This window comes from Homo sapiens, chromosome 7 (genome assembly GCF_000001405.40).
Source record: "Homo sapiens chromosome 7, GRCh38.p14 Primary Assembly".
Taxonomy (NCBI): Eukaryota; Metazoa; Chordata; class Mammalia; order Primates; family Hominidae; genus Homo; species Homo sapiens.
In genome coordinates, this window is record NC_000007.14 from 16,050,646 (window position 1) to 16,074,740 (window position 24,095).

General features: G+C 34.8%; 1 annotated feature.

The window, feature by feature from the left end:
• Positions 11,779 to 12,073: a silencer, noted in NCBI's record as "tiled region #6485; HepG2 Repressive non-DNase unmatched - State 23:Low". NCBI's record gives its function as "represses a minimal TATA promoter and a strong SV40 promoter by Sharpr-MPRA in HepG2 cells {active_cell/tissue: HepG2}" and the evidence as "EXISTENCE:reporter gene assay evidence [ECO:0000049][PMID:27701403]".

Below are 24,095 nucleotides of genomic sequence, written 5' to 3' on the forward strand. Positions count from 1 at the left end.
CATAATCAATGCTACAATATTGAAAATACAGGATTCTGTAAAAGAATTTAGAAAAACACATTTTCATGGGCATACTAAGATCAAGCACAATTCACTGAACATTTTGTTTAAATCAACTTAAACTTTCTCTTGTCAGAAAGTTTTTGGGAGTAAAAATAAATAAGGGTGATAGTATTCTAAGGATATCCTTAAGCCTGCTAAAATGCAGAGAAAAATCTAGATCATTCTTAAACTTGAATCCATTAAGTTTTTGTAGTATGTTAATTGCAATGTGGTATATTGCAACACTGTAATTGTGATTATTTTCAACATGAGCTTAGAGTAAAATGAAAGGACCTACTCTTTTATGCTAATAAAAGTTTTGTAACAGTGGAACTCTACCTTCCTTGTTTCATGTCTTAAATTGGATGTGCTTAACGGTGTAACTCCACGAGGAAATAAAGCCAACTTCAGTCCATTAAAATGGAAAAAAAAAAAAGGGGGCAGCTAATGTATAACTGCATTAAAAGTGATAAGGAAATATATTATTCCATAATGTAGTCAGTGCTTTAGCATAGTAATACCACAAACATAACATTTTCAAATTGTTCACCTAAATCACTGTTAAGAAACTGAGTGATAGCCTGGTACTGATTCTAATTGTCAAAAACAATAATAAGGAAATGGAGGAAGTTACAAATTTGCCTTCTATGTCCTACTAAATATACAAAGTATTTCTATGAAACGTAACCAATAAACTCTTGACAGGACTCCATATTGATTGGACAATGGCAGCGAAACAACTTTTGGTTGTGGTAGAATCCTCAAACCTCCACTGCAAAAATCTCAGCTTTGTGTTGATAATTTGAAAACAACACTCAAATTGAAGAGACAGGAACATTTATTTCTGTTTATGGGTTTGTACTGCTATCCACTGGTTTAGAAAAACTTTCCAAAGGAACTTTATTCCAGTAATTAAGATAATCCACAACTGGGATAGATAATAATACATATCCAAAGATTAGCCAGTTTGATTTTCAAGGTATTTCATAATTTGAAATGCCTTTTAATTTCAACAGTAAGAATCAAGTCTACTGAAGTTTAGTCTTGCGTCATATCAGTTATTGTGGTATTAATTTAACAGAGGAATATCTTGTTGAAGACATTTCTTCCTCATCTAACACAATACATGTCCTCTTAACAGTGATGCAAATTTAAATACAAAGATCCATGGAACCGACACGGATCAGTTTTCTGTGGAACTGACACAGCTCAGGCTCCCCCAGATCTTAGAATCTGAGAAAACTTTGCCAAACTCAGATTTACATCAATCCAAAAGTAATACCTTCTAATTTCTCTGTCTAGTCTTATCTACTGAAGGTTACCAACCCTGGCAGCTGCTACACTCAACAGCCCTAGCTAAGCCCATTCTAGAGAAGACAGTGCCAAAGAAAATTTTTTTTGATGTTCACAATCCCCAAGAGAGTCGTTGTCAGCTGGCCAGGGAATGAGTCTGTGTGGGCCAAACCACAGAAATATTCTTATCTAGTGTATATTTATTTTACTATTTGGCATATCATAAATTTGATCCAAATTTCCCTTTCTTTATGAAATGTTAATATATGTGTTCTGATCAGAGGCCTGAAATCTCTGCCATACCAGCTTTTAAAAGAATAGTTAAAAAAAAAAAAAGGTTTTATATTATATCCAGATATTTTGACTTAACACGTTTGTAAAATCTACATTTATATAACTAGCCTCAAATAATATTTAAAATATGCATAATATTCAAAAATAGAAGAATATTCTTATTTCTTTAGTACAAATCTAAGGAAAATATCCTAATTCTTTCTGTGAATATTTTTACTGGGCATATGGCATACAGTACATGCTCAAAAAGACTGAATTTACTGCAAGAGCAAATTAGACATATAATTATATAAAATGTCACATTAGCATGTTAATTGTGATTGTCTAAACTTTTATATATCCAGTCCAATATAAAATCCTTTTTCACTAATCTACTCCAGTCTTTCAAAATAATAAAAAATGAAGAATATCAGATATTTATTTTTTAACTCCCTGCTGTCTTCTATTTTAAAAATTAGCATTTTAAAAGAAGTAACTTAGAAGACTTTTCATAATTTATAACTTGAATTTGACTATATTTGTCTTCCTTTCCTATGGCAGTTCACTTAAAATGACAGTAATAACAACAATAAAATTAAAGAATACACTCATTATGATAGAAGAAATGGAAGAATGAATAGCATGCTAGAGAACTTAAGAACAACAACAAAAAAAATAGATGAGGAAAATTCTTTTTCTGGCAGTGTGGCAGCCTAACATAATCTGCCCTGAAAATAACTAAAATTGCTGGATACAACACACTTAGCATCAGTTTAAATTTGCGAATGTGCTTAAGAGTTATTTGAAGCCTAAAAGTAAATGACAAGAACTAAGCAATAAAATTGTTTTCACCTTCAGGGTATTTACCAAACCTAGGTAACCTTGACTGCCTGTCAAGGATTCACAGGTCACAAGAAATATGAGATAAGCCCTAGAACTAATCCAACCTATGGATAATTTTTCTGCATAAACTGGAGAGGATATGGTAACATATTCTTGGTTGGAATACAGGTAAACTCTGCTCCCTATAATCTCCTACTTCCCCATCCTCATCCCGCCCCTCCACCTCCCACCCCTACCCACACCTCTGCTGCTAATGATAAAAAGAATTAATTGCTCATCTTGAAACTTAGTGCTGGTAGAGGGAAAAAAAAATAACTCTCCTAAGCATTTGCAAATACAAGTAGGTTCTCAATGAGTTTTGCAAACCAATGCTATACTACCTGGAATGTCTGAAAATGTTAAGCCATGAATTTATTTTGAAGTGGTTCTAGATTAGTAGTAACTCTAGGCTCTGACAGAAAAAACTGAATATCCTTGCTCGGGGACACCAGTGGTAAACCAAGACCTTAAGGAAATAACAGACAAGTTTCCAAGAAATATGAACTCATAAACAACATTACAAAACATGTAGGAAGTCAAGCACCATGATGGTGTACGAGAAAAATCAACACAGTAGAGTCAGATTCTTGATGTGTCAAGTAACTCATTAAAAATTAATATAGTTTTTCTAACCAATATATTTATATTATCCTGGATAAATCAAAATTCAAAGAAAGAATCGGATATGTGAGTAAAGAGCAAAAGACTCTAAAGTAACTCAGATTGGAAAATAATCAAATTTAACGTTTTTAGTAATAAAAAATGAATAACTCAGTGGCTAACTTTTGCTTCTGGTCAAATTAAAATATCAGGAACCAGCTTTATCTTTCTGCCTTAAAGTAACAAAAAATTGACAAATATATGAAATTATAGTTTTCAGACATTATACACCAGAATTTGGATCCTAGAGAAAAGGAGAAGTAATGAGGAGAGTTCTGATTATCAACACAGGCAGGGGAACCATGCAGAGCCCAGTGGTGTGAATGAGTTGAATACAGAGAGACTGAAATTTGGAGAGGTTAAAACAGCTAGTATTTGTTAGATGGCTACTAAATAGGAGGGAGCTGCATAAAGAAAAAGCTCCAGAGAGCAAGTATTTGTTGGAATACTGATCTGCACATATGTGAGATAAAATTGCCTGAGATAGTAGAAATAAAAACCAGGAAACCTTTAGGCCAAACAATCTCTGGAGCTCACACAAAAATGAGAATAGTGCTTTATATAGCTCAAAAAAAACAACAACTCATAATACATGGGGTATAGAAAACAACCTTCAAAGATTTATATATAAAGGTTTCGTATATATATATATATATATATATATATATATATTTTACATTTTATATAACAAAAAAGATTATCTTAATTGATAATTCATCACTAATTGATGATGCAAATTATCTGATAAATGTAACAACAATGCATGGCAAAAAAAGAAACAAAACTCTCAGCTAACTTAGAGGGAAACCTCATTGTCCTGATAAAAAGCATATATGTCTAACCTACATGCAAAATCAATCAAAAATCATACTTCATACAACCAAAATCATAGTTAATAATGAAAGACTAATACCTACCCATTATAATTGAAAAAAAGACAAGGATATTCTCTCAAACAAATTTTATTTAACATTGTGCTGGAAGCTCCAGCCAGTACAACAACACATAAATGTATACATACATATATGCATTAAAATATATACACATTGAAGAGGAGAAAGTAAATCTGTCTGTATTTGCCAACCATCTGGCCATCTATGTAGAAAATCCTATGGAATCTACTCCTCTACCTCAAAAAAACTACCACAACTACCAAGTAAAATAGGAAGACTACAGGACATAAGTTCAATATACAAAAATCTATAGTATTTCTGTATGTGAATGACAAATAATTAGATTAAAAGTTTTTAAAATAATACCATTTACAACATGACCAATAAAGTGGAATACTTAGAGATAAATTTTAAAAATTATGTTGAAGACTTCTACATTGAAAATTACAAAATAATGCATAAAAAAAGCACTAAATACATGAAAAGATATACTATTGCGTGAGTCAGAAGACTCAGTATTGTTAAAATGTCAATTCTGTCAGTTTGATTTTTAAATTCAACTCAATTTGAATTTGATAGGCTTTTTAAAATAAAAATTAATAAGTTGATTTTGAGATTTATATGCAAATACAATAATAAACCTTTGAAAATGAAGAACAAGTTTGAATGACTTATACTACATGATTTCTAGACTTGCTTTAATGGTACAATAACCAAGACAACACAGTATTGGTATAAGATCAACGGAAGAGAAGAGTCTAGAAATGGACCTCTACACATGTGGTTAATTTTTAACAAATATACCAAGATAATGCAATATTAAAAGGTGAAAGATTTATGTGTTCTGAAGAGAAACCAGAGAATCCAAGATAATGCAATAGGAAAAGGGTAATAAAAGAAAAACTTTTGACAAATTAAATTTAGCAGAGTCTTAACTGAGAAAAAAAAAATGATTTGCAAATCAGGCAGCTCTCAGAACCAGAACATGCTTAGAGAAACTGGGGTTGCTGCATGGTTGCATAATATTTCTGAGCAGAAAAAGAAAAGTGACGTACAGAAAATGGAAGTGAGATACAGAAACTGCTGATTTGGTTACAGCTCAGCAGTTGCTTTATTTGAACACAGTTTGAACAGTTGCTTGTCTGTGATTGGCTGAGGCACAGCTGCTGTGGTTGACTGAGGCTCACCTATTTTTACAGACACATACTCCTAAGTTGGGTTTTCAGTTTATTTATGTGCTAAGTTAGGTTGCAATTCATGAGAATTGAAGTATGCAAGTAAAAAGGCTTTCTCAGGCCAAATTTAGTTTAACAATAGTTGTATTAGTCCATTTTCACACTGCGATAAAGAACTGCCTGAGTAATTTATAAAGGGTAATTTGTAAAGGAAAGAGGTTTAATTAACTCACAGTTCAGCATGGCTAGGGAGGCCTCAGGAAACTTACAGTGATGGTGGAAGGTGAAGGGGAAGCAAGGCACCTTCTTCACAAGGTGGCAGGAAGAAGTGCCAAGCAAAGGGGAAAGAGCCCCTTATATCAGATCTTGTGAGCGCTCTCTCACTATCACAAGAACAGCATGGGGGAAACTGCCGCCATGATTCAATTACCTCCACCTGATCTCTCCCTGGACACATGGGGATTATTGGGATTACAACAATTCAAGTTGAGATTTGGGTGGGAACACCAAGCTTAACTGTATCACTAGTCTTTCTAACAAAAGTGTGCTGAACAATTGAATATATAAGGGAAAAATTCACCGTAACCCTTATCCTATGGCATATACAAAATTTATTTTGAAAAACATTATCAAAATAAAAGTTAAATATAAAACTTCTAAAGAAAATATAGGGAAAGACCTTCACAAGCTGTGGTCAGGAAAAGATTCCTTGGAGCAGAAAAAGTAAAAACAGTAACAGAAAAATTAATTGATAATTGAATTTTAAAATATTTATTCATCACTAGACATCATCAAAAAAATAAAAGGTAAGCCGTAGACTTGGAAAAAAATGTAAAACATATAATTAGTAAAAGACTTGTATGCAGAATATATAAAGAATATAAGCAACATGATAGAAAATAAGAAAAACTATCTGGACATGTTATACACACACGCACACACACACACACACACACACACACACACACACAAAATGAGATATCACTATCATCCTCTGGAATGGCTAAAATTATAAAGATTGGTCATACAAAAAATTAATGAGGATGTAAAGCAGCTGGGACTCTCATACATTTCTAATGGGAATGTGAAATGGTATAACCACTTTGGAAAACGTTCTGGTACTTTCTGATAAAGTTAAACATAAACAAATCACCCAGAAATCTCACTGCTTCATATTTACCCAAGAAAAATGAAAACATACATCCCCACCAAAGATTCGTAAGCCAACGTTTATAGAAGCTTTACTTACAGGAGCCAAAAATGGGAAACAACGCAAATGTCCACTCTTCATTTAATGTATAATAAATTATGTTTTATCTATGTAATGGAATGCTATATAGCAACAAGATGGAATGAACTACTAATATGAACAATGTGGTTGAATCTCAAAAGCACTCTATGTGAAAGAAGCAGACATAGAAGGCTACAGACTTCATGATACCATTTTACATAAAATTTTAGAAAAGATACAAGTGTAGTGACAGAAGAAGATCAGTGTTTTCCCAGGGGCTGGATTGGAGAAAGGGTTGGTGACAAAGCAGCATGAGAGAATGGAATTGTTGGAAATGGAAATTATCTATATCTTGATGCAGTGGTGATTATATGACTATACACATTTTCAAACTCATTAATTTATGCTTTTAACATTGATGACTATACTCCATGCAATTATACTTCAACAAAACCAGTATTTTTAAACCAGTGGCAAAAGAATAATCAGGTGAAAGCAAGTCAACCCCTTAACATGATTCCATTTTGAGCCAATTTAAATGGAAAAAAAAATGAAGAAATCATTAAATACCAAGCATTAGAGAATATGTGGCTAAATGCAGTATTTTGTGCATTACAAGTGGAAGTATCTTCTGGTTGCAATACATTAGAAAACATTTTTGTATTAACTTTTGAAATTGGATAACCGTATACTCCATAGCCAATAATTTTACCATATTGAGCATATTCAAGTTAACTCTTACAAATATGAATCATAAAACATGTTTAACAATATTCATTTTAGCACTCTTTGTAATATAAAATAATGAAACTATTAAATGTATATCACCAGGATGACAAGTTATAGTATATTCACACAAGGGAGAATTATACTATAGTAAAAATCAGTTTATCAAAGCCACATGTGCCAACATTGAATGAATGTTAGAAACATAAGAAAAATAGTCTCAAAAGATTATATACTGTGTGATACCCTTTTTATAAAACTCAAAAACAAAACTGATATTAGTTTTCTAATCCTTGGTTATTGTTGTGAGAGTTCATTATATTAATAATATAAATATATTAATATATGGATCAGTGATGGCAATGTCATAAAACAAGAATTATAATTATTTTAACTCTGTGTTCCTAGAAGTTATTTTAAAATAAACATATAAATATGCAACTAGAAAGAAAAATGAATAAACAGATGAAAGAAAATAATACAGCAGAAATATATCTTTTGTCTCTCAATAGGACACAGAAGTGTAAATAGGAAATAGTAACTGGAAATGTTTCAGAAAAAGATGAAAAAAATTACTGAAACATAATGAACTAAAAATATGAAGCATTGAGCTAGACAGCATTAAGAAAGAATCCCTTTGAGACTGTTCTAAAATTCTTTTTCTTACAAGTAGGTTATGACATTTGATGCTTTTAGAATTAAATGAGAGTATATATTTCCAGCACAATTTTTGGTTTTGTATAATTATTATTTATAATAATCATAATTTAAAAAAATTTAAGATTATACTATCGAGTAATCTAAGAGACAAAATTTAAAGCATTCTGTGCTTAAGATTCTAATGCAGCATGTAAATCTTACCAATTTTGAAAATGCAAAAGGTACAAATGAACAAAGTTAGGAGATGGAGGAAAGAGGGACAGAAGTTTGTAGTATGAATATTCTAATTTTTTTTATCATTGGGAATGGCAAGAAACTGGTATTTGTTGAAATTAGAAAGATTGTCTGAGTTTTAACTCAATAAAACCAATACAATAAAGAAATAGTATTGTAATTGTTGAACCTTGAAAACAAGGACATTTTGTCCCTGCTGCTGTGGATAAACTATACCAGCATTTGTCAGATTGGAAAATCCATAGTTAATATTTCATAAAACAAAAACATCGTTATAATGATATTAATAGGAGTTTTTTTTAAAAAAATAAGAAAACCAAGTAGCAGAACAAAAATTTAAAATTCCAAGTGGCTGCCTTTTGGGAATAGAACTGTGGGTAGAAAGATGTATGGGTCAGAGAACTATTGTGTTTCATTAGCAGATCTCCTCTGCTAGGTAATCTTTCTCCTATTTGAATGAACCACTTTCATCTAAATAAGTGAGTAAATAATGAATAAATGATAACACAACACCAAAATAAAATGACTTGTGCAGAACTTTTATCATTGAACAACTGTTAACTAGTGGATGACACAGCCTTATCTTACATCCTCCACGCAAGACTATTTTTACTCCTGTGTCAAGATGCACTAGCCCATATCATGATACCTATCTTGTTTGCATGAAAAGAACCTAAATAAAACCTAGAGATGAATTGCAGGAAGTTTTGTCAATAGCTTGTAAAATATTTTATAATCATCCTGATAAGTGAGCTGAATTGTCAGTGTCAGTCATGGAGGAGGAACAGAAAGAAGCAATCAAAGAGTTCCTGAAATCTTTCAAGGTAACATATAGCCAGAGCACAACTGGAATTTAGAGATCCCACAGGGTTGCACAGATGGTTGCTCAGCCCTCTGAACAGCACTGCCCCTTAATCCAAACACACCTAAATAGATGCAATAATGCTGTTGGTCTGAGAATCACTCAATTAACCTTACAGTGACATAGGACCAGCCAGCAGAGTTGTGGCTCCTCTGACGAGTTGGTCCCATTCTGTCTCTAGTTACCCCTGTACAAAGTGTACTTGGTTTGCCTTTTTTTTTCAAGCTTTAAAACTGAAGAAAATATTGGAGTCAAAATATTATCTTTTTGCTCTCTTCCCATAGGAGCAGGAACTACAAATTGCAAATTTGTCCCCTACTGAGGTAGGTGGCTGATGCTCGCTCAGTTCATTGGGTGGTTTGCTGTTAGCTACCTATGCTATCAACACAGCTCCCTAGATGCCGTCAAAGAGAATGCGGAATCTCATCAAGGGGCCAAAATGTATTCTCTTCCTCTTGCAATTAAAAGAGGAAAGAAGGAAAGTTCCAATCTTTGTCTTCTTATTGCTAGCTGTTTTTTTTTTTGTTTTTTGTTTTTTTGGTGGGGCGGGGTTGGGGGGCTAGGGGACAGAGTTTCACTCTTGTTGCCCAGGCTGGAGTGCAATGGCACAATCTTGGCTCACTGCAACCTCTGCCTCCCAGGTTCAAGTGATTCTCTTGCCTCAGCCTCCCAAGTAGCTGGGATTACAGGCATGCACCACCATGCCTGGCTAATTTTTTGTATTTAGTAGAGACGAGGTTTCACCATGTTGGTCAGGCTGGTCGCGAACTCCTGACCTCAGGTGATCCACCCACCTCGGCCTCCCAAAGTGCTGGGATTACAGTTGTAAGCCACTGCGTCTGGCCTTCTTGCCAGAGTTAATTCATTCTTTCTTCTTTCTTTTCAAGAGATTACTCCCCAGCACATTGCAACCCAGGAACACAGAAACCCCAAATCACATCTTCCTAAAATTATCCCATGTTGGTGGATAAGTGTTCAGTGTGATGGAGAATTGCATGAAAGGGATAATTAATGTCCCACTGTTGATTTTCCTATATCTTGTTTGCTGACTCACCATGTATTCCTATGTCCTGTCCTACTTATTCTCTGCAGTCTTACTTCATCAGAACTGAATGAATCTTGTGTTTATGTCATTTACAAAGCTATGCAAAGAGAGATGAGGAAATAATTTCTCAGGCTAGGCTCCCCAAAAAGAAAGGATTAGTAAGGAATCACTGCCAATCTTATGATAAAATCTGTTTATAGGTTTGGAGTGCTTAATATACTGTTAAACATTAGCACAATATAATCACTGTAATGATCAAATAACTACAAACACACCAATATGTTCTCTAACCTGACAGTTGCTGACTTAGGGCGGTGACTTGAGAATCACCTTTCAGCTCACTGGGTTTGCTGAATGCTCCATTCTCATGCAAAAAGCAGATTTTCCAAAGTTTAGCTAAACCTAAATTATGAATGGTATCCCTTTGCATTCAGTGACAAAAATTGTGTTATTGAAGAAGTATTTGCTCTAAATCTCTCTGGTATTTTGAAGCACCTACATGTACGAAGGGGAGAGGTGTGTCTGCACATGTGTGTATGTGATGCGTACTTATGCTGGCCAGCATAGTACTGTGGTGTACGTATGCTGGCCGGCATAGTACATATGGTGTGCTGTTCCTCCAACACACCACGTGTCCCCTGGGCTCAGGTCTCTTTTGTTTACTTTTTCTCTGCCTGCAATACTCCCCTGAAGGTGACTATATGGTTTGTTCCTTTCACAACTTTATGCATTGCTCAACTGTCAACTTCTTAGTGAGGTGTCACTGGACCACCAAATTTTAAATTACAACCCCACCATCCCAGGACTCCATACCCTTCTCTGTTTCATTTTTTTCCCATAGCACTTAATGCCTTCTACTGTATGACTTATTTTTTATTTTATATATTTATATTAAATATAACATTTTGTTCTGTTCTCTAACACCAATACACCTGGTACATCTAGATGCGTGTGAAAACATTTTTTGAATGAATGAATACACTTGAGGATGATGCAAATGATGTCAGCTGTCTATCTAGGTATGGCTATTAATGTGTCATCTTTCCACTAAAAACATGCATTTTCTTTTACATTTTATGTTTTTTCTAATACCCAAATGCTGTGGGTTCTTTCCCCCTCAAGACACTCTTCTGCTTCCTCCATTTCCAACTGCTAACATCTCACTGGCTATCTAGTCTGTCCTCAACCAGTGTTTGACATTTCCTGGTTTACTGAGAACTACCTCAACAAAGAGGGGTTTTCCAAGACAAAAAAAAAAAAAAAAAAAAAAATCCCATAGAGAAAAAAGAATTGGCCCCACTACAAGGGTGAAGAGAACTTGCTGCAAGAGGTCACATAAGCAAATTGAAAGATACCAGAGATATAGGTTACATCTACTCAGAAGGAGAAAGAAAATGGACTGCCCACGGGATCCCCTGGTCCCCTTCCTCAAATGAGATGTCTCTGGCATAGGTTCCATCTACTCCCGTTCAAAGGCAATAATTCACTAGTGGAGCCATTTGGACACATGGCTACTTTACAATCACTTGAGAAGTTCTCTAGCAAATGAGTCCCGTGAAGATGTCTACAGTGTAGGTATGATTTCAGAAGATGGATCTGCCTGAATGATTTCTTGTCTGGACTTGGCCAGGACTCTCTTCCTAGTCTAATTTTTTCAGACTAGATTTTTATGAGTATCAAATAATAAGAGCATTTTAGATGTCTCTAGTAGCTGAGATCAAGTCTTAGACAAAAGACCTCTAAGACTGAAATATAAATAGAGAAGAGTTCAGGATGACATCATGCTGTATGCACACCAGAAGTGACCACAAATAACCTACAATAACCTTTAAAATTAGTTTTTTCCTGACTTCATAAAACAATATTTTATTTGGCAGGCATCTATTGGCAAGCTTTTTCAAAAGCTCTATTTGTTTTCTGTATCCAGGAAGACACAACCACTGTTTTCACATAGGTTTCCTCCTATGCTGTGGTTTTGCCATTTTCTGCTTCTTTATGAGTGGCTGCTGCAGAATATTTTTCTTTGGGACGTTTATTAAGAGCAATAAGGATATGAATGAAAAACCATCCTCGTAACAATACAGGGTAGGTTTCTCCTTCCATATGTAATGTTGACCAAATCCAAAGTCAGAAGTGAAATATATCAACAGTGATATCATTGCTTTATTCTAAAGCAATTCTATAATACTATACAGCTGGATAAAAATATTCTATAATACATGAAAATAAATCAACCCATGTACCCTTTGATGCATTAATTAAATCCAAGGTTAGAAAGAAAATGTGACATTGTAACATACCTTTAGATAAAGGTATAAAATCATGCAAGCCAAATTGAGGTGTAACAGAGAGCAGGAAAACATAACTTCAAAGTTCTCTCATAGGTTAGCCAATTGTTCTATCTTTTAAAACATACTCCCATTATAAAGTAAAAGTGATACATTTTTTTCTAAATGTGTTAACATATTCTAAAATTTTTTCTGAATCTAATTTCATATCAAAATCTTCTTCCACTATTTCCTAGAAGACAAAGTTGAGTATGTGCAAAATCTTTGAAAGTATAATAAAAACACTTTCCAAATAAACAGCACTTCTAGAATAAGTCACTATATTACATTTTCTTCTATTTCATGTTAATATTGTACTCTCACAGAGGCAAAAAGAGGAAGGTTCCAATAATTAACCTTGTGCTGTTGACCTAACCAAAATTAACTGGCTCTGCAACAATTTAGTTGTCCATATAAAAACAGGAAGAGAGATTTCCCCAAGTAACCCTTATTCACCATGAGAAAAACAGCTGGTGCTCTCTCCTTCCATGTAAGCCTGTGGGGCACGGATGAAAGGATGTATATTTCTGATATCCTCTCTTGTAAATGGGTGGTTTTTTCAGTGGAAGTGTGCCAACACTCAGTTCCTGAGAGGCAGGGGCCCAAGAAAATCTGGTCAAAATATTTAGAATTATTTCGATACAAGATGAAGTCTGTGAAAATGAACAAACTTTCCTTACCAGCGTTACATGAGTAATCACTGCAAAATAATAATGGAAATGTATACCTTTTCCGCCCAAGAAAGGCAGGAAAGATTAATAAAAAGCACTGCCCTTCCAACAACAAAAATCAAAGTTTTAGTACCAGACTTTTTTGTGTCCCTGTTTTCCAGTAGTTCTGCTACATTTCCCACAGTACACTGCTGGGATTTTTTATTTTTTATTTTCGCTACGCATGCTCACACATCTGTTGCACATGTGTGATCAACCGACTAGATTTTCAAGTTAAATGGACAGAGTGGGCAGAGTATTCCTTTGAGAGTTAGGCTCTGCCTCTGGTGGATTGCCGCCAAATGCAATGGTGTAATAAAGAAAAGAAATCTGCTCATTTGAATTGCATTGAAATGAACTGTGTCGTCTCCTAAAATACCATATGGTAATGATCCCTGGAGGTATGGTGCATAACACCTAGGTCTGGCAGACACCATTGGAAGGCTGTAAACGTCCCTGTGTAGTCAGGCTGTGAAAGGCAAGATAGTTGACAAGAAGCATGCAGGGTGAAACAAGAATCCTATCTGACGTCCCTCAATCAACTCGAAATGAAAGAAAATAGACTGAACAAAGAAATCCTAGCAAGTCACCTTGGACAAATCCTTCTTTTCCCATTAAACAGCATTCTTGAATCTCACTTCCAGTAAAGTGAAACCTTATGGAAAGAAAGCTGTTTCACCTGAGCAGTAGCCAGAGTTTCTTTGCAGCAAATTATCTCAATAAGACTCAAGTGTACGTCTGTAAGGCAAAATGCAGTCTTCATAATCAAACCTCCACCAGAGCTGAGCGCAGATGGACCAAGTAACCGGAGACGCCAAGAGTCATGCCTCTGCTTCGGCTAGCACTCTCGGTGAACCTGATCTTCCCACAGGTAGTAGTAGCTAGTGACCTGCACGTCATTCTGTGAAGTTTCTCAAGGGAGACGCACCACACATCCATACAGCATACTACACACACACACATATACAGTTTTTTAGTGAGGAGAAATAATTCAGGTGACATTGGAGAACTGGCAGTGAGATATTTGAAATGTCTCTATGCCAGACAAGAGAAAAGGATAAGTACAGCTATAGAAGCTTACAGCATGGGCTTTACAACAAAACCCCATTAACCATCAGTAGTTACAAAATTTTAATTTATGTCAATGGTAAAATTTTGATCTTTTATCTTCCTTGAAAAGGAATAAATTTCCCACTAAGTCTAAAATCAAGATATGTTGTATAGAAATAACATGGGAAAATACCTCAAGAGGTTATCCTTGCTTGTATTTTTTCATTTCTAATAATTTGATCATAATGGTGTATGTTAACGAGGTGCAAGAATTCCTTAAACTCTGGCTTCTTCTCATCCTTCACTTTTCTTTCTCTAGAAGTGCAGACAACTAAAGAAAATTCTATCCATATACCTAAATATCAATTTGAAATTTATATGATTGTGGTTCTTAAGTTTCCTGAAAATTAGCTTCATTTTTTATGTCAAACGTGACTTTGCATTTTGATTTCTATAATTCCTTTGTGACAATTTGGAGGAAACTTGGTTATCATTACTTATAAAAACAAAGATACTGTGTAATAAAATAGCAGTTAGTATACATTGGTAGTTTCATCTTGTATCAGTTAATAGCAACTCATTTAATCTTAACCATAACCAAAAAAGATAGGTGTTATTACCCTGGTATTTTACAGATGAAGAAACTGAGATTTATCAGGATTTTGTAATTTGTTCAAGGTCAAAAGTAAGCAATATACCGGAGATGCAACCCCACCTTGCTTTTCCAGAGCCAGCATTCTGAAATGTCTATTATACCATCATGATAAAAGGTTTTTGGTTTGGTTTGGTTCTTGACATTCAGACTCTAGAATTGTCATTTTAAACATGTCTTCTTTCTATTTTAAGACCATCAAAAGGGAAAATTCTATCTACCTCGACAATTTCATAGCACTTTTAAAAACCATTATGTAACTATTTTTCCTTTCTTCAGATCTGAAGATTTCCCATGACTAAAACATTAATCCATTGTCTCTGATTTCTGCCACTAATAATATTATCTAAAAAGCTTAACTTTTTCTTCAACCTTTTTTCCTCCCACAGGAAAAAAAGTTTTAAAATCTCACCACGGAAGTCATTTTGCCCCTGCATTCTAAACTGATGAACTTTGCCAAAAGTAGAGATCTATGGGTAAATAATATGTAAGTAAATAGGTGAAAAATGTATTCTGAATGAAGTAAATGTTTTCAATCAGAGTCTTCATATCTGTAAGGTCTCTTTCTTTCTTTTTATGAGTCATTTTTAGTTGAGGACTTCTGAATATTAAGATCACAAAAATGACTCTTGGAAATTATGTAGTAGGCAGCTGACATTTCCAGGGATATTCATATTTCAGAATAATTCTTATAATATCAACACAGATGTTTCTTTTTTTCATTAACTGTAATATCTTCAAATTTGGTGATACTAAAACACCAAATAAATCTCAGCCACTCTTTGTTGATAAAGAGAACATTAGATTCTGAAGCCATGCTCAAATTCATGTATTACAACACTGCTTATTATTTCAACAGAGGAGCTCTGGGTGCAAAACATGTGGGAAGAATATTTATCTTCTTACAGATCAGAAAGCTGATGTATAGGGATTAAAGTATATTTATGAAGTCAATAAAATATTAACAGAACTGTGATGAGCCAAATCTGCATTCCATAAAAGGTCTAAAATTAATCTGAGTTTCCAAATGACACATAACTAGTATTTGAAAACATCTTATAAAATTAATGTATTCCTGTATCTATGCTGTTCACTTCAGCTCTAATTTGGACTGTCAACATTTTATCACATTCACAGGAAATTCCTAGGAGTTTGTCAATCGATCTCAGAGCAGAAAGTCTGAAGCAGTCACATACATACACATATGCCTTTTTTAAATTTAAAGAATGTGTATCTCTAAAATGCACAATATCATCTGTGCTAGGTCAACCTAACAGTACTGAGTTTGCTTTTCGATGAGGAAAAAAAAAACTGCAGAAATGCAAATTCTCACTCTTCTCAGCTTGGCACTCACAGCTATTTTCTGGCTATTTTAAGGATGCTACTAATTGACCTGGATGGAAAATATGAGTGTAGCTGTCTCTTTTTTTCTAATTATTCAGAATCTTAATGATTCCAATAGAGGCTTGATTTGTTCTTTTGCGCATCCAAATGAACAATTCCTATATTGTGCTGAATTTTAGTAAAATCGTTAGATGCGTTTTAGGGAAAGTGAGTAGCCATCTCTGTCCATTCGCATCTCCAACATTTTAGGAAATAAGCTTCTCATCAGAGATGGTCTGATAATATTCTTAAAAATTCTTTTCAGATTTGAATTACAGTTAAGACACTAACATATGTAGCATGTCTCTCTCTATGTGTGGGTGAGAGAGAGTGAGCAAATAAGCCAAAAATAAGGATTTTGCAGACAAGCCTCAGATGAATGCCTCAGAGATTTTTAGTCCAACTGCATTCTCTCCGGTTAGCATACAATGTACCCTGTGTGAAAACACTCACAAGTAAACAGGAATTTGAGCTCAGCAACACCCCTGCTTACTTTCTCTTCCTCTCCCCTCCCCTCCCCTCCACATGTCTTTTTACTTCCTAATCTGCCAAATCAAATGCTAAATCAGGAGCAATACCCTACAATTAGCTTTTTCAATTAAAATGTAGAGTTCAAAGTTGACTCCAGAGTGAGTAATTGCTTTTGAAAACCACAACCAGCAGGCAGCTGCCAGATTATTACAACAGTTTATTTAACCTCAAAACATCTGATCAATTTTATTATCTGGGCAGAAGGCAGATATCCTGGAGAGTAGGATTTAAAATATACTATACATCCTAGTTGTCTGAGGGAAAATTAAAATTCTTCAACACCATAAGTATCCTTTTGCCATCACCTTGCTGAGAAAACAAACTCAAACCACAGTTTCTTCATTCGAAAGTCAACAGAAAGGAAGAACATCGTGACATTCAGCTGGGGTGGGAGGGTGGGGAAGGGGCCAGGAACAGACAATTTACAAAATTACAAGGTTTAAAAACATTCAAACATCCGGCTCATGATGTTTGGGGTTTTTATTCATCCAGAAAGGAGAAGCAGAGAGGGGTGCCAACCTCACCAAAACAAAGAGTATCACGTTTCGAGAATCCTGATTTGGCTGCCTTCACACTGGTGCCCTTATTATTCCAAAATCCACTCTATGGCTCCAGTAACGCCGTGGATTGAAACCGTGGTAATATATAAATAGACTGGAGGGCTCTCAGAGCTCCTCCCTCCACAGAGTGGCACCTCGAGGAATTTCTACCAACTCCTTTTTTCTGACCCTATTACCCACAGCCTAACAGCCTTTCCTGCAGATCCTTGGATTTAATTCCACAATGTCTCTGCAAGTCCATTAGAGCCTAAGACATTAAGCAGGTGGTATTATTTCAGCCCCTCCCCAATCTTCTTCAGAGGCGATATTGGGTAAGAACATAGACATTAGCAATCTGTCTGAATTTTGATCCCAGTTCAACTGTTTACTATTAAATAATAGGATGATCTTCAGCAAATAACTTTTCCATTGCTCATTTTCCTCATTCATAACCCCATACCTTTGTTGTGAAGACTCAACAATTATGTTTAAAGTGCTTACAACTGTGACAGATACATAATAAGTGCTACGTAAGTTTTAGCTGTTGGTTTTTATCACTCACTCAGGATGCAGGCTTTAGTTCCCCCTGGCTCTAAGCCTTGCCTGTTGGACAGTTTTACCCAGTCTCAGGTCCAGCTCCTAGCCATTGGAACATCTCTTCATATAGTCTGGATGAAGGTTCAGAGAGCTAGCTACCTGGGCTATCCTTGTGCCTTTACTTTGAGGTCACGTTGTAAGAAAGCTGTAATACAGTCATGTACCTCTCATATTTCCAGAAGTGTAACCACCTTGAACAATGCCCCAGATGGATGCAGAACACAAGTAACTCTCAACTGTAGTTGTCTCCAAAATACACCATCATTCGCTGCCACAAGAGTGTTGCTGGACACTACTTCCCATCTCTGTATTTGAAGAACATTTGCATTGCATCTTTTCTGCCCTAGTCCAACAAACGTCAACTTGACAGAAAAAAAAAAATTCTCATCACAAGACAATTTAGAAAGTGTTCATTGCAAATGAACCATTTATTTCTAGAAAACGACACTTCAATGTCCCCAAAAACACAAGAACACCATCTTTGTGTTTTATTTTTTGTAAAAGATCTTTGACGCCTATTCCCCAATCCCCATTCGCTTTCCCTTCCAGAACCATGCTACTGTATTTGATATCATTGAATTTCTATGAATTCTTATAGAATATGTAGCATTTTGTATTTTAGTGTAAAGTGCACTGATTTATAACCTAATAATCAATGAAGCTTATTGATTCATACAGATTGTTATTCATTGTTACTTTTAAGCTCTCAACAGTGTTCTTATAATATATGCGTGTTATTTTGTCTACATGTCATTTGTTGCTTTTAATTACTCCAGAATACTCCAGAGTATGTGCCTACTGCATTTTTACCTAACCACTCAATGCTTGCCATATACAAAAATATTAACATCCAATAGTTAACCTCATATTCCATCAACCTGATCTAAAGTCACAGTGATTCTGGTTAATTCAGCAAGGGAACTTTTTCCCTCCAATCTTTTATGTAAGAGTTTTCCACCTGAATTATCGAGACAAATAATTCTTTCACTTTCTAGTAAAGATGCACTTAGAGAAATTAGCATTTTTTTGTTTTGAAATCTGATTGTTGGCAACCAACATGTTTTCTTGATAAAAGTAAATATCTTTCAGAGACACTGAACAACATAAAACACAGACATCTTAAAAGCTTTGTGGAGGTAGTCAGGCCATGAATAAAATCTAAATAATAACAAGCCAGCTGTGTTTTCAATATCTGTCAGATTTTATTTATAAAAATGTAGAAAAAGCACAAAATCCAAAGGTGTTTATTCAAGTTTCTACACTGCAGCACTATTTGATATAATGAAATACTGGAAACAATTTTAATATATATTAATAGAAGTCTGGAGTCTGAATAAAAGATAGGATTTTATGCAACCATAAAAATGAAGTACTTCTGTAAGTACTGACACGGAAACATCTTAAAAATACAGTCAAGCCACTGAAGAATATTTTTCATATGACCCAATTTTTATAAAAAAATTAAGGAAATATGCATATATAATAACCTGTTTATATACAGGATTGCATGTGCTAGAAAATATTGGAAGAGATTTCAACCTGCACAGAGAACAGCAAGGTCAAAGGGAAGGAGAAAAAATATTTGTTTACCTTTTAATCGTTATCCTTCAGTACAATTTACATGTTTTTATTTATCTACAACCAATATGTGCTAATTTCATACTGAACTTTTCTAAACATAAGTAAAATAAAATGTGACGGGTAAGCCTGGCTTTTGAGGTAGGTTGGAGGTATGGTTTTACTTACAAAGGGGAGTAACGAAGGAGCCGACCTAGTCCTAAAATCATTCAGGAAAGGAGAGGCAGATGTAAAAAAAGTATGTGAAGAGCAGCCATATCCCAAGTCACTTATTAAACGGCAATGTACAATCAAAATAACTTTGTTGTTTCCCTGTTGACACATCAATTGCAAAGGTGTGTGTGTGTGTCTGTGTGTGTGTGTGTGTGTGTGTGTGTGTGTTATTGCAATGGAAAAGAGAACAAAAATGTTTTCATTTAAATAGAAGAAGCAATATTCAGTAACTGGAGGAGTTAGTGAAAAACTCTTGTGGCCACTGATAATAACAATAGGTAACTAAAAAAAGAAATCAGTTAGAAATGGTTTTCAAACAGCTAAGATCATAAGAAATTAAGTTTTTTCATTAAAAATAAATTTGAAATAACCATACATGTGCTTTTTTCCTTGCTGAAAATTATGTAAATTCAAATTTAAAATGTACTTTAATATATAAGGAGCTAATAGCATCTCGATTTTTCATAAAGACTTTCCTTTCGAACTTTGAAAATGCTGTTTCATTGCTCAATGTTTCAGAATGAATTATAGAAATTATTTTTAGTTTATCTCCAAATGATCAAACACAAAAAGTGCAATCCAAAATCGAACTTGGAGTCTTATGTTAGAATTTGACCGTATTTCAATTTACGGAAACCAGGAAAAACATATAAAATATTTAATGAAAATACAAAAAAAAGTTAAAATACAGGCCATTCATTCTAGGAGAAGTGCTTTTACTCTTGAGAAATACTAACTGTTATTTTTCCTAAGGCAGGTAGCAGATTGTTGCTTTAAACTTGAGAATTAAACATTTGATTTTGCTACTATGTAAACAAAACAGTTGCCCAGTAAAAAAGTTTATCTGGGAACACTGTAACAGAAAATGACAGACTAACAGGTAAATATTTTAATCATATCCATGGCAAATAAAAACAACAACAAACCCCCCATAATTTGATGAAGCGTTCTCCTACTCCAAGATGCTTTACATTGTTAGATGCAAATAATCTATATTTCATTTCGAGACAATGATTTTAAATTCTGAATTTTCACATATAAACATATTAATGTTACATAGTATATACTAATTTTTCCTGTCAGTTTTTCTTTGCTCATCAGAATATTTAATAAAATGTGAATGAGAAAAAGTTAGAATATAAAAGATTCTAGATATTTGCACTCGAATCTTGCTTTCCTGCCAGTTTACCAGAAGCAAGGCAACAAGCAAAAGGAATTTATGATGTTATACTCCCTCTAGTGGGCATTTTTTAAATGGAAAGTTCAGCAACCTCCCTGCAGGCGCCAGTGCATTTTGAGTTTCATGATTCTCACCCTCCTGAATGGGAAGGTTCTTTGCAGGTTACCCTGTGATGGAGAAATTCTAGAGTAAATCAGCTTATGATTTGCCTAAGTGTCGTTCCCTCAGGAAAGCTACCGTTTCTATCTTAATATAAGTATTGTTAGGAAATTACGTCTATAATAAATCCAAATTCCACTCTTTGTACCATGTAATTCTTGGGCCTCATGAAGAAACTGGGAAGAGTATACTCTCTTTCCCATTCTGCCAATCCTCATGGTATATTTTTAAAATATCTCAGAACGAGAGTAGCTACTAAAAATGTGAAAATCAGTAACATTAAGAAGCCATTTTAAAATAGGTTGTTTCAGGCAGGGGTAACAAAATAAGAATGCATTATTAATAATCCATGAAATTAGAAACATCAAATGGTTATATTCTTTGCCATTATATATGCCATTGCCAATCACAACCAAAACTGCGTGTTGAATCCCATAGACACTAGTTTGAGCGTAGAAAATATGCCCCAACAATGTTTAATTCAAATTTTAAAATGTTTTTCTCTTTGTATGAAACTATATAATTAATTTCTATTTCATGGAAGATCTCGAGCAACTTATTATTTTTGCTAGCCCACAGCAGCAGGAGAGCCCTGTGTGAAGCCTAAAAGGCCTCAGAAGACTCACCGCTCAAAGGGTGAAGCAAAAATATGTGTAAAAAACAGCAAGATTTTGTCAGAGTAAAGTGACTCAAGGTATGTCTATCTCACCAGATGGTCGAATTCATCTTCCCAATTTAAAAGGGTTCATACTACCAGGCATAGTGGCTCACACCTGTAATCCTAGCACTTTGGGAGACCAAGGTGGGCGGATCATCTTGAGGCCAGGAGTTCAAGACCAGCCTGGCTAACACAGAGAAACCGCATCTCTACCAAAAATACAAAAATTAGCCAGGTGTGGTGGCACACACTTGTAGCCCCAGCTACTCGGGGGAACTCAGGCATGAGAATTGCTTGAACCCGGGACGCTGAGGTTGCAGTGAGCCCAGATTGCGCCACTGCACTCCAGTCTGCACAACAGAGCAAGACTCTGTCTCAAAAAAATAAAAATAAAAGGGTTCATAACTGGAGGTTCCTCAAAAAATTAAAAATAGAACTATCATATAATCTAGCAATCCCACTCTGGGTATATATCCAAAGGCAATAAAATCTCCACCTTGAAGTATCATATGTACTCCCATGTTCATTACAGTGTTATTCACAATAGCCAAGATATGTAAATAACCTGTGTCCATCAATGAATGAAGACAATATGGTATGTGTATACAATGGAATATTATTCATCCTTCAAAAAGAAGGAAATCCTGCCATCTGTGACAATGTGGATGGACCTGGAGGACATTATACTAAGTGAAATAAGCCAGAAATGGAAAGAAAAATACTGCATGATCTTACTTATATATGGAACTAAAAAAAAAAAGTTTAACTCATAGAAACAGAGTAGATGAGTGGTTACCAGTGGTCAGGCAGGGGTGGGGACAAGGATACATTAGTCAAAAGTCACAAACTTGCAGTTATGAGTATTTCTGGAGGCCTAATGTACACTGTGCTGACTGTAGTTAATAATATTGTTACTAATCTTACTTTTGCACCAACCTAATATATACTTAATATTTGCTAAGTGAGTAGATCTTAAGTCTTCTTACCATACACACAAAAGGTAAATTTCTGAGCTGATACAGATATTAACTTGATTACAGTAATCATTTCACAATGTATCTCAAAACATCACACTGTACACTTTCAATATATACAACTTCTGTCATTTATACCTCAAAAAAGCTGAAAAATAGGATAAAGACTTTTTTTCCTCAAATTCCTACCATTATATTATATACCCTTTGAGCAGAAAAAATCTTCCTGTCTCTCTGAGTTGGCACAGAACCTACAACTAAGTTGATACTTAAGCCATGCTTATTGTTGATGAAGATGAAGCCCCAGAATGAATGCTTGGGCTTGCCAACATGTATTAATTCCCATTTGTACCATATGACAATTATTGTCTTTTGGATTATCTGCTGCTGAAAGAAGTGTTTTTGTGGGAAGAGGGAGTCAGAAAATGTACGGAGATCCATGTGATCCTGGACAAGCCTTGTGGTGTGTGACAGTGGGGAAATCTTGGCAGGCAGAACACTATCAACATAGGATGAGATGGTATTTGAGAGAGAGTGGTAGAGATACCAAAGATACAAACCTATCAAGTGCCAGCTCGGATCTGCTATGCCACAGAAAAGAAAGCTTAACCTTTTTTGAAAGCAAAGTGCTACCTATGCCAGAGAATTAAAGGACTTTTCTGCAGTAATTCTATCTGCCCTAGGTCTCCTCAGAAGCATGACTTTGTAAAATCATTGCACAATTATTGGGGGTGGGAGTCGTGAGGCAGAGGAGAGGTATCGGGACAGGGACCACTACATGGCAGCAAATTTACTTGTAGATTAGATTGCTTAGGCACCTATTGAAGATTGTACAACTAAACAACAACGTAAGTGCACCAAGCAATCTAAGGCAACATTTCTCACAGCATGGCCTTGGATCAAAACTTTGACATTGACCTGCAATTTTTATAAACACTTGCAGCCCAGAGGCTACTCAATCTGTATTCCTACGGGTGCTACCTGATAAGCAACATATTTAACAAACTTCCCAGCTGATTTTCTATATAGAAAAGCAAGTATTAATAATATGAATTATAGCACCAAGAACTTAAAAAATATTTTCCATGTGTTGGGAGGGAATAGTGGTATGGGAAACTTCAGGCTTTAAAATATCAGCCATCATGAGGGAAATCACGCATAAATCTTTACAAATCTCTTAAAAATTGACATCTGAAGACTAATATACCATTCCTCAATTTTATTTTCCTTCTGTGTGGAAAAAGAATTTTTCTTCTTTGAGCACTAGATTACATAAGTTGGCTAACGTTTAGAGGCCATATTGAAAAATATTTATCTTTAAATTCTAGAACCATTTTGAGCTTAGGGAAGTTACACTCTGAGAAGCCCAGGGTAAAACTGAGACCAGCTAAAGTGGCAGCAACTTTAGATCCTTTGGTTAAGTGAGAATATGTGCCAATAAATGGAAAAGATGGATGTATCCATTTATTACTTCATTCACCCATATATTGAGCAACTACTATGTTTAATGACATGAATACCAAGATAAATGGTGACACTGGCATTTGTTGTGCTTCCAAAAAAAAATA